Genomic DNA, 14,667 nt, shown 5'->3' with positions numbered 1-14,667 from the left:
ATCTGTTTTGCAGGACTGTCCCAAACACTGCAGGGTGTCCAGCATGCCTGGCTCATGTCTACTAAAGATCAGAAGAGCCTAATCAGGCCAGGTGCTCTTTCTGTATGTACAAATAGGCTCCAAAAACAAAGTAACTTGCTCATGGTCACATAGTCAATTCGAAGAGGCAGAACCAGAATTAGAACCCAGGTTGGTCAGTCTGACTCCAAAGGCTATGATTTTACCCTCTTTTAAAATTTTTTATTTAAGAGAGATGCAGGTTTCTCTGTGTTGCCTAGGTTGGACTTGTGGGCTCAAGCAATCCTCCTGCCTCAGCCTCTCAAGTAGCTGGGATTAGAGGCACCCACCACCACACCTGGCAACTTTTTTTTTTTTGAGACAAAGTCTTGCTCCATCTCCCAGGCTGGAGTGCAGTGGTGCAATCTCAGCTCACTGCAACCTCTGCCTCTTGGGTTGAAGTGATTCTCCTGCCTCAGCCTTCTGAGTAGCTGGGGTTAGAGGTGCATGCCACCACCCCTGGCTAATTTTTGTATTTTTAGTAGACGCAGGGTTTGCCATGTTGGCCAGGCTGGTCTCGAACTCCTGACCTCAGGTGATCCACCTGCCTTGGCCTCCCAAAGTGCTGGGATTATAGGCATGAGCCACCGTGTTTGGCAAGAGCCTGTCTTTAAAAAAAAAAAAAAAAAAGAAGGCCCAGTGTGGTGGCTCACGCCTGTAATCCCAGCAGTTTGCAGCAGTTTGGGAGGCCGAGACGGGCGGATCACGAGGTCAGGAGATCAAGACCATCTTGGCTAACACAGTGAAACCCTGTTTCTACTAAAAAAATACAAAAAATTAGCTGGGTGTTGTGGTGGGCGCCTGTAGTCCCACCTACTCAGGAGGCTGAGGCAGGAGAATGGTGTAAATTAGCAAGACTCCCTCTCAAAAGAAAAAAAAAAAGAGAGAGAAAGAAAAACAAAATAAATTAAACTTTACTCCCATGTAAGCGTCTCATGCTCTACCGACTGAGCTTGCTGGGCCCTCCACTCTCTTGTAAAAATTGCTGCAGATTTTCATGCGTGTCCGTGTGAAGAGACCACCGAACAGTCTTTGTGTGAGCAACATGGCTGTTTATTTCACCTGGGTGCAGGCGGGCTGAGTCCAAAAAGAGAGTCAGCGAAGGGAGATAAGGGTGGGGCCGTTTTATAGGATTTGGGTAGATAAAGGAAAATTACAGTCAAAGGGGGTTGTTCTCTGGCGGGCAGAGTGGGGGTCACAAGGTACTCAGCAGGGGAGCTTTTGCTGGTTCTAGGACAGGTAAAATGGGGGAATTGTAAGGAGAGTTTATAGGCTTTAAAAGGCCATGCTGTAGCAGGCGAGTGATAACAGGCTTTAATCCTTTTAAAGCGTGCTGTGGGATGGGATCTTGGCATTGAGCGGGGTAAGGGTGATTCGGTTTTAATGAGATGGTAACGGGTGCGTGATCGGTCTCCAAGGAGGAAGTAGAGGTATCTTACACTTGTGGGTTAAGGTGGGGGGATACAAGAGGAGGACACAAAGGAGGCTTTGGATTGGGAAGAAGGGCAGCAATGAGATGTAGTTGTACTCCAGGAATAGTCAGGGAAGCAGATAATTTAGTTGAAGTGTCTCGGCCTAATAAGGGAACTGGGCAGGTGGGGATAAGTAAAAGGAGTGCTTAAAAGAGTATTGTCTAAGTTGGCACCAGAGTTGGGGAGTTTTAAGAGGTTTAGAAGCCTGGCCGTCAATACCCACAACAGTTATGGAGGCAAGGGAAACAGGCCTTTGAAAAGAAGGTAATGTGGAGTGGGTAGCCTCCGTATTGATTAAGAAGGGGATAGATTTACCCTCCACTGTGAGAGTTACCTAGAGCGTCTGTGATGGTCTTGTAGGCTTCCGAGGAGATCGGGCAGTGTCAGTCTTCAGCTGCTAAGCCAAGAAGATCTGGGAAGGAGTCAGTCAGAGAGCCTAGGGTCAGAGTTCCAGGGGCTCTGGGACTGGCTTCCAGGTGAGTTGAACAATCCGATTTCCAGTGGGGTCCCACACAGGTGGGACACGGCTTAGGAGGAATCCCAGGCTGCGGGCATTCCTTGGCCTGGTGGCTAGATTTCTGGCACTTGTAGCAAGCTCCTGGAGAAGGTGGTTCTGGAGGAACGCCTGGCCACTGCGGTTTAGGCGTTTGGAAGTTCTTGTGTGCTGGAGATGTGGCTGGGGTTTGTCTCACAGTGGAGGCAAGGAATTGCAACTCAGAAATATGTTGCTACTTGGCTGCCCCTATTATTGTACACCTTGAAGGCGAGGTTAATTAAGTCCTGTTTTGGGGTTTGAGGGCCAGAATTTAATTTTTGGATTTTTATTTAATGTCGGGAGCAGATTGGGTAATAAAATGTATATTGATAATAAGACGGCCTTTTGACCTTTTAGGGTCTAGGGCTGTAAAGCGTCTCAGGCTTGCTGCCGAATGAGCCATGAACTGGGCTGGGTTTTTTATATTTGATGAAAAGGAGTCTAAAAAATGCTAACTGATTTGGGAGAGGTCGGATAAAGAAAAAGGAGCATTAACCTTGACTATGCCTTTAGCTTCAGCCACCTTTTTAAGAAGAAATTGCTGGGCAGGTGGGGGAGGGCTACTCACGGAATGAAACTGTAAACCGGACCAGGTGTGAGGAGGGGAGGTGATAAAAAGATTATAGGGTGGAGGAGTGGAGGCTGAGGAAGAATTGGGACCTAGCTCCGCCTGGCAAGGAGCAGCCTGGGGAGCGGGGAGGAGGGAAGAGGTCAGATGGGTCTGCAGAAAAGGAAGATTAGAAAGACTCAGCGACACTTGGGGTTGGGACTGAGGGGACAGATAGGAGGGAAAGTCTCTGTGCACTGGGCACAGAGACTAGGGAGGGACCGATGTGTAAAAGAATGCCTGGACGTCAGGCACCTCAGACCGTTTGCCCATTTTACGACAAGAATTATTTAGATCTTGCAGGATGGAAAAATTGAAAGTGCCGTTTTCTGGCTATTTGGAACCACTGTCGAGTTTGTATTGGGGTCAAGCGGCACTGCAGAAGAAAATAAGGCATTTAGGTTTTAGGTCAGGTGTGAGTTGAAGAGGTTTCAAGTTCTTGAGAACACAGGCTAAGGGAGAAGAAGGAGGAATGGAGGGTGGAAGTTTGCCTATAGTGAAGGAGGCAAGTTTAAAGAAAAGGGAGAGTAGAGACATGGAGGGAAGCGGTTCGGGGGTTCTTACCCTCCAGAAAAGCAGGAAAGGGGTCAGGGCGCAGATACGAGGTTGGGGCACGGAAATAAGGGATCAGGGCGCAGAGACATAAGAGGTTGGGGTGCAGAAATAAGGGATCGGGGCACAGAGATATGAGGTTGGGGTACTTGCCCTTCCCCCAGAAAAGCAGGACTTGCCACTAAGGGTGAAGGAGAAGGGGTTGAGGGGTTCTTGCCTCTCCCCCAGAAAAGCAGAGAAGGGGTAGAGACAAGGAGAGAAGGGGCTGGGGTACTTGCCCCTCTCTCAGAAAAGCAGGACTTGCCGCTAAGGGTGAAGGACTAAGGCAGGCATCCCTGCGTGGTCTGACACCTCTGAAACGTGGGTGAATAATCAGAGAGGCATCCCTGCAATGATTAAACACCAAGGGAAAGCTGCCTTCCCAGTCCGTGACCGGCGCCAGAGTTTTGGGTCCATGGATAAAATGTGTCTCCTTTGTCTCTACCAGAAAATAAAAGGAACTGAAATTAAGAGAAGGGAGAGATTGAAGAGTGGAAAGGAGAAAGTGGTTGAGGGATAGAGAGGTTGGAGAAGAGAGTAAGAAGAGGCTGCTTACCCGATTTAAAATTGGTGAGATGTTCTTTGGGCTGGTGGGTCTGAGGACCTGAGGTCGTAAGTGGATCTTTTTCACGGAGCAAAGAACAGGACAGGGGATTGATCTCCCAAGGGAGGTCCCCGATCTAAGTCACGGCACCAAATTTCATGCGCGTCCATGTGAAGAGACCACCAAACAGGCTTTGTGTGAGCAACATGGCTGTTTACTTCACCTGGGTGCACGCGGGCTGAGTCTGAAAAGAGAGTCAGAGAAGGGAGATAAGGGTGGGGCCGTTTTATAGGATTTGGGTAGATAAAGGAAAATTACAGTCAAAGGGGAGTTGTTCTCTGGCGGGCAGAGTGGGGGTTGCAAGATGCTCAGTGGGGGAGCTTTTTGAGCCAGGATGAGCCAGGAAAAGGACTTTCACAAGGTAATGTCATCAGTTAAGGCAAGGACTGGCCATTTTCACTTCTTTTGTGGTGGAATGTCATCAGTTAAGGCGGGGCAGGGCATATTCACTTCTTTTGTGATTCTTCAGTTATTTCAGGCCATCTGGGCGTATACGTGCAAATCACAGGGGATGTGATGGCTTGGCTTGGGCTCAGAGGCCTGACACAGACCTTTTTTTTTTTGAGACAGAGTCTTGCTCTGTCACCCAGGCTGGAGTGCAGTGGCACGATCTCAGCTCACTGCAAGCTCCGCCTTCTGGGTTCGTGCCATTCTCCTGCCTCAGCCTCCCGAGTAGGTGGGACTTCAGGTGCCCACCACCATGCCCAGCTAATTTTTTGTATTTTTAGTAGAGACGGGGTTTCACCTTGTTAGCCAGAATGGTCTCAATCTCCTGACCTTGTGATCCGCCCGCCTTGGCCTCCCAAAGTGCTGGGATTACAGGCATGAGCCACCCCGCCGGCGGACTGTAACATTATTATGCAGATGAAGCCTACAGGTAGCAAGCTTCAGAGATAATAGATTGTAAATGTTTCTTATCAAATTTAAAAAGATGCCAGAGGCCAGGCATGGTAGCTCATGCCTATAATTCCAGCACTTTGGGAGGCCGGAAAGCCGAAGTGGGTGGATCACCCGAGGTCAGGAGTTCAAAACCAGCCTGACCAACATGGTGAAACTCCATCTCTACTAAAAATACAAAAATTAGCTGGGTGTGCTGGCACATGCCTGTAATCCCAGCTACGAGGGAGGCTGAGGCAGGAACTACTAGGGAGACTGAGGCAGGAGAATCGCTTGAACCCAGGAGGCGGAGGTTGCAGTGAGCTGAGATGGCGCCATTGCACTCCAGCCTGGGCAACAAGAGTGAAACTCTGTCTCAAAAATAAATACATACGTACATACATACATACATATGTAAGATGCCAGATTCGGCTGGGCACAGTGGCTCCCACTTGTAATCCCAGCACTTTGGGAGGCTGAGGTAGGCAGATCACAGGGTTAGGAGTTTGAGACCAGCCTGGCCAACACAGTGAAACCCTGTCTTTACTGAAAATACAAAAAATTAGCCGGGCATGGTGGCAAGTGCCTGTAATCCCAGCTACTCAGGAGGCAGAGGCAGGACAATCGCTTGAACCCAGGAGGCGGAGGTTGCAGTAAGCTGAGATCACACAATTACACTCCAGCCTGGGTAACAGAGCAAGACTCTGTCTCAAAAAAAAAAAAAAAAAAAGCCAAATTCTTAGTGAAGTCTCTCCTGGATCAGGAAAAAGACCTAGAAATGGAAAGGGACTCTGGAGAATGTAGATTTTCCCCACAGGGACAGCTTTGCAGGGCCATTTCAAAGTATGTCAAATAAGTATATTTTAGGGTAAAATACATCAATATCTATCATGTGATACTAAAGTCAGGATAGTGTCTTTTTTTTTTGAGACAGAGTCTCACTCTGTCGCCCAAGCTGGAGTGCAGTGCTGCGATCCCAGCTTACTGCAACCTCCGCCTCCCAGATTCAAGCCTCAGCCTCCTGAATAGCTGGGGTTACAGGCACGCACCACCATGCCTCGCTAATTTTTGTATTTTATTTTATTTTATTTTTTTTTGTAGATGGAGTTTTGCTCTTGTCACCCAGGTTAGAGTGCAATGGCGCAATCTCGGCTCACTGTAACCTCCGCCTCCTGGGTTCAGGTGATTCTCCTGCCTCAGCCTCCTGAGTAGCTGGGACTACAGGCATGTACCACCATGACCCACTAATTTTTTTTTTTTTTTGAGATGGAGTCTCACTCTGTTGCTCAGGCTAGAGTGCAGTGGCGCAATCTCGGCTCACTGCAACCTTCCACGTCTTGGATTCAAGCAATTCTCCTGCCTCAGCCTCCTGAGTGTCTGGGATTACAGGCTTGTGCCACCACGCCCGGCCAATTTTTGTATTTTTATTAGAGACAGGGTTTCACCATGTTGGCCAGGCTGGTCTCGAACTCCTGACTTCAGGTGATCCGCCTGCCTTGGCCTCCCAAAGTGCTGGGATTACAGGCATGAGCCACCGCGCCCAGCCGAATTTGATGTCTTATTGCTACATTCTTGAATGTACTGCAAAAAAGTCTTAAGATCTCTGGCTTTTTTTTTTTTTTTTTTTTTGGAGACAGAGTCTTGCTCTGTCACCCAGGCTGGAGTGCAGTGGCGCAATCTCGGCTCATTGCAAGCTCCGCCTCCCAGGTTCACGCCATTCTCCTGCCTCAGCCTCCCGAGTAGCTGGGACTGCAGGCGCCTGCCACCACGCCCGGCTAATTTTTTGTATTTTTAGTAGAGATGGGGTTTTACCGTGTTAGCCAGGATGGTCTCCATCTCCTGGCCTCGTGATCCACCTGCCTCGGCCTCCCAAAGTGTTGGGATTACAGGCGTGAGCCACTGCGTCCGGCCCTTTTTTTTTGTTTTTTTTGAAACAGGGTCTTGCCCTGTCACTCACGCTGTAGTGCAGTGGCATAATTATGGTTCACTGCAACCTCAACCTCCTGTGATTAAGAGATCCTCTCACTTCAGACTCCCAAGTAGCTGAGACTATAGGCGCACACCGTTATGCCTGGCTAACGTTTGTATTTTCGTAGAAATGGGGTTTTGCCATGTTGCCCAGGCTGGTCTCAAACTCCTGGGTTCAAGTGATCTTCCCAACTCTGTCTCTCAAAGTGTTGGGATTATAGGCATGAGCCACCATGCCCAGCCTAAAATCTCTGTTGTAATGTTAATGCTGGTCAGTTGTGCCTCAATTCCAAAGGGAGGAGAGTATAATGAAACATGCCTAACTTCCACTTCCCATTATGGCCTGAACTATTATCATTGTTGAGGTTAACGTTGGAATGTCTTTGACTGGGAGGAAGGGTCCATTCAGATGGTTGGAGGGGATTAGAATTTTATTTTTAATTTACAGAGGGAAGAGCATAATCAAGGAAAGATTAGTATCTGCTGCAATCCCTCAGATCCTCTCCTCTCAGACCTCAGCTGGCAACTGGAAGCATTGAGATGGCTCCACTCTGGCTCCAGCACTAATGTCTGAGTAGCTGGAATGTCACTTTGTCTCTCTAGACCTCTGCTGCTGTAGCAATTCTGGTTTGAACTAGATGATCTTGTAATTCCCAGATGGGTTCTTCCTGCCTACTGCACAAACAAAATCAATTCAGAGACCATAGCATTGCAGAAAAGAACGAGTTTAACTGACACAAGACCTGCCATGCCACACAGGAGACAGGGTTATTACTCAATCAGTCTCACTGAAGGCTTGGAGGTCGGGGTTTTTCAAAGATAGTTTGGTAGGCAGGCGGCTAGGATATGGGTGCTACTGATTGCTTGGGAATGAAATCATAGTAGTGTGGAAAATGGCCCTCCTGCACTGAGTCTGCTTCTGGGTAGGGGTCACAGGACTGGTGGAGTCACACGTCAGTGTGGGGCCATTCCATAGTCACAAATGCAAAAGCCTGGAAGAGATAGCTCAAAAGATCAGTCTTACATTCCATGATAGTGATGTTAATTACAGGAGTAACTGGCAAAGTTGCAAATCTTGTGACTTCCAGAACAATGGCTGGTAATCCTTTAACTATGCCTACATCTTAGTAGAATTCAGGCCCCTCTCATCCTCCTAACTTGGTGGCCTTTCATTAGTTTTACAAGGGTGGTTTAGTTTTCAGGAAGGCGTATTCTAATTTAAAGTATAAGCTAAATTTATCCAAAAGTTACCTTGGCCCATGCCCAGGAATGAGTGAAGACAGCCAGCCTGTGAGGCTAGAAAGCAAGATGCAGTCAGCCATGTCAGATTTCTCTTACTGTCATAATTTTGCAAAGGCAGTTTCAATTTTTTTTTTTTTTTGAGATGGAGTCTCACTGTCTTACCAGGCTGGAGTGCAATGGTGCGCTCTCAGCTCACTGCAACCTCTGACTCCCTGGTTCAAGCGATTCTCCTGCCTCAGCCTCCTGAGTAGCTGGGATTACAGGCACGTGCCACCATGCCCAGCTAATTTTTTTGTATTTTTAGTAGAGACAGGGTTTCACCATGTTGTCCAGGATGGTCTCCATCTCCTGACCTCGTGATCCGCCCACCTTGGCCTCCCAAAGTGCTGGGATTACAGGCGTGAGCCACTGCGCCCGGCCTAAAAATATTTTTAGTAGTGACGGGGTTTCACCTCGTTGGCCAGACTGGTCTCGAACTCCTGAGCTCAGGTGATCTGCCCGCCTCGGCCTCCCAAAGTGCTGGGATTACAGGCGTGAGACACTGCACCCAGCCCATCTGTCGTTCTTCTCTCTAGACTGTGAGCTCCAAGAACGCAGCACTATTCCTGTAATGCATCTGTGCATGCTTTCCCTTGGTAGACCCTGGAACACAGCAGGTGAATGCTTCAAGGGACAGTCTCAACCCTGTGCACCCTGCCTTAGTGGCTACTGAATGCTTGCATGATTGCATTTGAACCTCACAACAGCCTGAGACGCTGCCAGCACTCAAAAAATTACCTGCCATCTCGCTGTTGAGAAGAGGGGCCTGAAAGAGGCGATCAAGCTGCAAACCCAGGCTCAGAAGCCAACTGCCTGGATTTAAGTTTAGCTCAATTCCTTACCAGATATTTGGCAAGCCACTTAATATTTCTCTCTCTCTCTTTTTTGAGACGGAGTTTTGCTCTTGTCGCCTGGGCTGGAGTGCAATGGCACGATCTGAGCTCACTGCAACCTCTGCCTCCTGGGTTCAAGTGATTCTCCTGGCTCAGCCTCCCAAGTAGCTGGGATTACAGGCGCCCACCACCACGCCCAGCTCTTTTTTGTATTTTTAGTAGACACAGGGTTTCACCACGTGTGCCAGACTGGTCTCAAACTCCTGACCTCAGGTGATCCACCCGCTTTGGCCTCCTAAAGTGCTGGGATTACAGGGCTGAGTCACAGAGCCCGGCCACGCCATTTAATCTCTCCAAGCCTCGTTTCCTCCACTGTACGATGGGGATAGCACCTACTTCAGAGATTGCTACGCCGAATAAAAGGAGCTGGCATATCATGCCTAACATATAACAAGCACGTGATAGAGGTCAGTGACTAGCTTTAGCCTCAGGCCAGCAGCCTCCCGCTCTCCCTACCCTGCGCGCCCCACGTGCCTCCTGTAAACAAGAGAACGCGCAGGCGCCGCAAACCAGCGCCCATTGGTCGGCGTGCCGTCGCCCCGCTGGAGGGAGGACTCAGGCCCCGCTGGCCGCGGGCTCGGTACCCGGTGGGTCGGTGGAGCGTCTGTTGGGTCCGGGCCGCCGGCTTCGCCCTCGCCATGGCGCCCTGGCTGCAGCTCCTGTCGCTGCTGGGGCTGCTCCCGGGCGCAGTGGCCGCCCCCGCCCAGCCCCGAGCCGCCAGCTTTCAGGCCTGGGGGCCGCCGTCCCCGGAGCTGCTGGCGCCCACCCGCTTCGCGCTGGAGATGTTCAACCGCGGCCGGGCTGCGGGGACGCGGGCCGTGCTGGGCCTTGTGCGCGGCCGCGTCCGCCGGGTGAGGACGCGCCGGGGGCGGGGGCGCCAGGCCCGGGTCCAAGGGATAGGAGCTTTGACCTAACATTGGGATGGGGCCTGCCCGCTGGACGAACCGATCTCTGGTGATGGGGAATGGGCAGCGCCGCACGGGCGGGGCCTTGGGCGCCGTCAAGGGCCGACTGTGCCCGCCTCACCTACTCCTCTCTCCAGGCGGGTCAGGGGTCGCTGTACTCCCTGGAGGCCACCCTGGAGGAGCCACCCTGCAACGACCCCATGGTGTGCCGGCTCCCCGTGTCCAAGAAAACCCTGGTGAGTGATGAGGCTCTTGGGGTTCCCCGCCCCGAGGCCGAGTAAAGCAGCAGTTGGATGATGACGGGTCAGGTCAAGACGCAGGGATCTGAGGTAGCTGCTGCCCCACCTTGAGCCACTTCCCAGGCCCCGAGGGCTGGAAACCAAGATGCTATGAAGGGGAGGATGCCCCGGTGCAGGCCGTGCCTCACTGTCCACTGTGATGGGGTGATTGCCTTAGGGGTGGCTCTCATCTGAGGAGCCTCCAGCTCCATCTTGGCCAGATCTTGCTCCCCAGATCCAGATCCAGGCCCCCAGAGCAGCTTCTTCCTCTCCCTCCAGCTCTGCAGCTTCCAAGTCCTGGATGAGCTCGGAAGACACGTGCTGCTGCGGAAGGACTGTGGCCCAGTGGACACCAAGGTTCCAGGTGCTGGGGAGCCCAAGTCAGCCTTCACTCAGGGCTCAGCCATGATTTCTTCTCTGTCCCAAAACCATCCAGACAACAGAAACGAGACTTTCAGCTCAGTCATTTCCCTGTTGAATGAGGATCCCCTGTCCCAGGTGAGGAGCCCTCAGCTTGAGGAGCCCTCAGCTTGAGGAGCCAGCCGCTGCCTCATCACCCTTCTCCCTTCCCTCTGGAGTGGGTTTCTCTGGTCAGCCTAAAGACTGGTCTGCCTATCCAGGACTTGCCTGTGAAGATGGCTTCAATCTTCAAGAACTTTGTCATTACCTATAACCGGACATATGAGTCAAAGGAAGGTGAGGACCCAGCCTTGGCTGTACCTGTTCCTATCAGAACAGGACTTTCCCCCCAACTTGGCACCTTGGTGTGTGGGAGGAGAAAGACAAGAGGCAGTGTACCTGTTCAAGGACCCCATAATTCCTGAGCTCTCCCTAAGCCTTCCCAGCCTGGCAGCCACCCTGAGTACCTGGCCCCTTCTCCTACCTTATCTTCCCGCTCAGAAGCCATGGGTCTTGGCCGGGCGTGGTGGCTCACCTCTGTAATCGCAGTACTTTGGGAGGCCGAGGTGGGCAGATTACCTGAGGTCAGGAGTTCAAGACCAGCCTGGCCAACATGGTGAAACCCCATCTCTACTAAAAAAAAAGTACAAAAATTAGCCAGGTGTGGTGGCGCACACCTGTATACCAGCTACTCGGGAGGCTGAGGCAGGAAAATCACTTGAACCTGGGAGGCGGAGGTTGCAGTGAGCAAAGATTGTGCCACTGCACTCCAGCATGGGTGACAAGCGAAAACTCTGTCTCAAAAAAAAAAAAAAGAAGCTCTGCATCTCCATCACTCTGGCAGGGTGGGATGGGGCAGAGGCTGGATTTTTTGTGCTGGAGAGTCCTTGACAACATGGCCTTTCCCCACCACCTCTTGTGGGTGGTGTCCTTTAGACCCCATTTACTGCTTTTGCACCTGGGAAGTCATCACTTCAGTTTGGCCCTAAAAGTTGATCAGACCTCCCACTCCATCACTTGCATGTCTGGCCCCCACCCCTACCTGCTCCCCGGGGAAACCCCTGCCTGCTAGCCCCAATTGCCCTTCCTTTTATCTGCCTGGGGTCGAACCCCTCCTCTTCTGCTCCTTGGTCCTCAGAAGCCCGGTGGCGCCTGTCCGTCTTTGTCAATAACATGGTGCGAGCACAGAAGATCCAGGCCCTGGACCGTGGCACAGCTCAGTATGGAGTCACCAAGTTCAGTGATCTCACAGGTAGGGATAGTGGCCACAGTCCTCATGGATCCAGGAAGAGACAGGACCTTGCTCGCAAGGCCTCTGGTCAGGTCTGGCTTAGAACACTCTTCCTCCCCATGCCCTGCCCACCTTTGCCCGCAGAGGAGGAGTTCCGCACTATCTACCTGAATACTCTCCTGAGGAAAGAGCCTGGCAACAAGATGAAGCAAGCCAAGTCTGTGGGTGACCTCGCCCCACCTGAATGGGACTGGAGGAGTAAGGGGGCTGTCACAAAAGTCAAAGACCAGGTTGGACCCCTGGAAGTGAGGGTGGGACATGGGCACTGCACTGGGGCTGACGAAGGGGCCCGGCTCTGACTCCAACTCCACCCATCTCTTGTAGGGCATGTGTGGCTCCTGCTGGGCCTTCTCAGTCACAGGCAATGTGGAGGGCCAGTGGTTTCTCAACCAGGGGACCCTGCTCTCCCTCTCTGAACAGGGTGAGCATCTCGCTCTACTCCTCTGTCCCCAGCCTAGCCCCTCAGGAGGGCTTCTTGGGACCAGCCTTCTGTCTCCTAGAGCTCTTGGACTGTGACAAGATGGACAAGGCCTGCATGGGCGGCTTGCCCTCCAATGCCTACTCGGCCATAAAGAATTTGGGTATGCATTAATGGGGTCAGGAGGGGCAACCGGAGCCACTTCTCCCTGTACAAGAAGTTACTTCATAATGGGGGGGAGACATGAGCATGAGAGTTACACAGAACTGGGTCCAGGTCTTAATGCTGACCCAGCCAGGCGTGGTGGCTCATGCCTGTAATTCCAACACTTTGGGAGGCCAACTTGGGAAGATCACTTAAGGCCAGAAGTTCAGGACCAGGTTGGGCAACATAGCAAGACCCCATCTCTACAAAAAATTAAAGACATTAGCCAGGCATGGTGGCTTGCATCTGTAGTCTCAGCTACTTGGGGGGCTGAGGCAGGAGGATCGCTTGAGCCCAGGAGGTTGAGGCTGTAGTGAGGCATGTTTGTGCCACTGTACTCCAGCCTGGGTGAAAGACTGCTGGGATGAGCTCTTGGTGAGGAGTCAGAAGTTGGAGTTGAGTTCTGTCTCTGCCACTTTTCTTGCTGGCTACTGGTCCCTCCTCCCCATCTCTCCCAGCCTCAGATGTGTCATTTCTAGAATGAAGACATTCTTCAGAGGGGATGGCCTGTGGCCTGGGGTGGACGAGGAATGTGAAACCTCGCGTAGAGGGCTTAGTTCATTTCTGGCTGTGAATGGCAAATGGGAGCCTGCCCTTCTCTACTCACCCCCACCGTTCCCCAGGAGGGCTGGAGACAGAGGATGACTACAGCTACCAGGGTCACATGCAGTCCTGCAACTTCTCAGCAGAGAAGGCCAAGGTCTACATCAATGACTCCGTGGAGCTGAGCCAGAACGAGCAGAGTGAGTGAGGGGCAGGGTGAGGTGAGGTCAGGTGGGGCCGGGGCCTGGGTGCCTACTGATGCCACCCCTTCCCATCTCAGAGCTGGCAGCCTGGCTGGCCAAGAGAGGCCCAATCTCCGTGGCCATCAATGCCTTTGGCATGCAGGTGAGGCCCTAGCCCCACTGCCCCTGCCCCATCTCTTGTTGACCTCCCCGACCTCTTCTTGGAGTCGATCCCCTACTCCTTCTCCACCTCCAGTTTTACCGCCACGGGATCTCCCGCCCTCTCCGGCCCCTCTGCAGCCCTTGGCTCATTGACCATGCGGTGTTGCTTGTGGGCTACGGCAACCGTGAGTTCCGCTGCCTGTCCTGCATCCAGCCAGGCCACAGGCAGGGGTGGGATCACAGCATCTCAGGTCCTCTAGAGGGGAAATAGGGGGAATGCCTAGGAACCCTGTCCTTACCCACTGCCTGGGCCATGACCAGCTGGGCATCATCTGTCCTCTCTATGGCAGGGAAGCTGAGCTGTGGGAGGGTAAATATTGATGGCCTAATAACCTGCAATAGGCGGGTGGGTGCGTGCTTCCTCCCTGCCCCAGGGCTTCTCCCTGAGGCTGGTAGGTGGGCCCCTCGCTTTCTGCTCTTTTCCTAGTCCCTGTCACACAGTAGGCCCAGTGCAAGTATTTGAAGGGTGCAAAGTGATTAAGGCTCTGCCTGGAGAATTAAGGACCCTGATCCTTGCGCTCTGCACTGCACCCCAGGCTCTGACGTTCCCTTTTGGGCCATCAAGAACAGCTGGGGCACTGACTGGGGTGAGAAGGTGAGTCTTGCTGGCTTGGCCCCTGGCCCTCCAGCCGCCATCCTACCCTGGTGCCCTCACCAGCTCCCCCTCTCCCCCAGGGTTACTACTACTTGCATCGTGGGTCCGGGGCCTGTGGCGTGAACACCATGGCCAGCTCGGCGGTGGTGGACTGAAGAGGGGCCCCCAGCTCGGGACCTGGTGCTGATCAGAGTGGCTGCTGCCCCAGCCTGACATGTGTCCAGGCCCCTCCCCGGGAGGTACAGCTGGCAGAGGGAAAGGCACTGGGTACCTCAGGGTGAGCAGAGGGCACTGGGCTGGGGCACAGCCCCTGCTTCCCTGCACCCCATTCCCACCCTGAAGTTCTGCACCTGCACCTTTGTTGAATTGTGGTAGCTTAGGAGGATGTCGGGGTGAAGGGTGGTATCTTGGCAGTTGAAGCTGGGGCAAGAACTCTGGGCTTGGGTAATGAGCAGGAAGAAAATTTTCTGATCTTAAGCCCAGCTCTGTTCTGCCCCCGCTTTCCTCTGTTTGATACTATAAATTTTCTGGTTCCCTTGGATTTAGGGATAGTGTCCCTCTCCATGTCCAGGAAACTTGTAACCACCCTTTTCTAACAGCAATAAAGAGGTGTCCTTGTCCCGAGTGTGGTATAAATGCTCAGTCCCCGGGGGTGAGGAGAGATGGCAGGGACTCCTGGCGGGTCAAGGTGGGATAGCTGGTCCTGCCCAGGAGCCTGAGGGGCCAGCTTCTGCTTCAGGAACTAA

General features: G+C 52.5%; 1 protein-coding gene across 2 annotated transcripts, besides 6 other annotated features; it reads left to right on the top strand.

Moving 5' to 3' along the window:
* Positions 2,724 to 2,924: a silencer, noted in NCBI's record as "peak1305 fragment used in MPRA reporter construct". NCBI's record gives its function as "represses an SCP1 promoter by STARR-seq MPRAs in K562 erythroleukemia cells {active_cell/tissue: K562}" and the evidence as "EXISTENCE:reporter gene assay evidence [ECO:0000049][PMID:32103011]".
* Positions 3,535 to 4,285: an enhancer, noted in NCBI's record as "NANOG-H3K27ac hESC enhancer chr11:66341195-66341945 (GRCh37/hg19 assembly coordinates)". NCBI's record gives its function as "activates a minimal SCP1, AML or CMV promoter by ChIP-STARR-seq in naive and primed H9 embryonic stem cells {active_cell/tissue: H9 hESC(naive and primed)}" and the evidence as "EXISTENCE:reporter gene assay evidence [ECO:0000049][PMID:30033119]".
* Positions 4,286 to 5,037: an enhancer, noted in NCBI's record as "OCT4-NANOG-H3K27ac hESC enhancer chr11:66340443-66341194 (GRCh37/hg19 assembly coordinates)". NCBI's record gives its function as "activates a minimal SCP1, AML or CMV promoter by ChIP-STARR-seq in naive and primed H9 embryonic stem cells {active_cell/tissue: H9 hESC(naive and primed)}" and the evidence as "EXISTENCE:reporter gene assay evidence [ECO:0000049][PMID:30033119]".
* Positions 7,617 to 7,911: a silencer, noted in NCBI's record as "tiled region #510; K562 Repressive non-DNase unmatched - State 23:Low". NCBI's record gives its function as "represses a minimal TATA promoter and a strong SV40 promoter by Sharpr-MPRA in K562 cells {active_cell/tissue: K562}" and the evidence as "EXISTENCE:reporter gene assay evidence [ECO:0000049][PMID:27701403]".
* Positions 9,285 to 9,354: a silencer, noted in NCBI's record as "silent region_3598". NCBI's record gives its function as "represses an Ori minimal core promoter by ATAC-STARR-seq in GM12878 lymphoblastoid cells {active_cell/tissue: GM12878}" and the evidence as "EXISTENCE:reporter gene assay evidence [ECO:0000049][PMID:35858748]".
* On the top strand, positions 9,403 to 14,545 carry CTSF (cathepsin F). 2 transcript variants are annotated; one of them, NM_003793.4, is made up of 13 exons: positions 9,403 to 9,735; positions 9,927 to 10,025; positions 10,347 to 10,565; positions 10,688 to 10,763; positions 11,605 to 11,718; positions 11,842 to 11,987; positions 12,082 to 12,178; positions 12,258 to 12,338; positions 13,003 to 13,122; positions 13,203 to 13,267; positions 13,361 to 13,451; positions 13,863 to 13,921; positions 14,002 to 14,545. In NM_003793.4, exons 1-13 carry the CDS (start codon positions 9,523 to 9,525, stop codon positions 14,074 to 14,076), a joined length of 1,455 nt encoding a protein of 484 aa, NP_003784.2. In that variant the 5' UTR covers positions 9,403 to 9,522; the 3' UTR covers positions 14,077 to 14,545. The 2 variants fall into 2 exon arrangements, with proteins under 2 accessions (NP_003784.2, XP_011543630.1); XM_011545328.3 differs by having other exon boundaries at positions 9,403 to 9,838.
* Positions 12,748 to 13,247: an enhancer, noted in NCBI's record as "H3K4me1 hESC enhancer chr11:66332233-66332732 (GRCh37/hg19 assembly coordinates)". NCBI's record gives its function as "activates a minimal SCP1, AML or CMV promoter by ChIP-STARR-seq in primed H9 embryonic stem cells {active_cell/tissue: H9 hESC(primed)}" and the evidence as "EXISTENCE:reporter gene assay evidence [ECO:0000049][PMID:30033119]".

This window comes from Homo sapiens, chromosome 11 (assembly GCF_000001405.40).
Source record: "Homo sapiens chromosome 11, GRCh38.p14 Primary Assembly".
In the NCBI taxonomy this organism is placed as follows: Eukaryota; Metazoa; Chordata; class Mammalia; order Primates; family Hominidae; genus Homo; species Homo sapiens.
The sequence above is the reverse complement of the archived record's forward strand: the minus strand, read 5'-3'. Positions and strand labels throughout refer to the sequence as shown.

Coding starts and splice junctions, on each gene's coding strand:
- CTSF (NM_003793.4), top strand. CDS start 9,523: ATGGCGCCCTGGCTGCAGCTCCTGTCGCTGCTGGGGCTGCTCCCGGGC. Junction 11,719..11,841: donor CAAGTTCAGTGATCTCACAG/GTAGGGATAGTG, acceptor CTTTGCCCGCAG/AGGAGGAGTTCCGCACTATC. Junction 12,339..13,002: donor CTCGGCCATAAAGAATTTGG/GTATGCATTAAT, acceptor ACCGTTCCCCAG/GAGGGCTGGAGACAGAGGAT.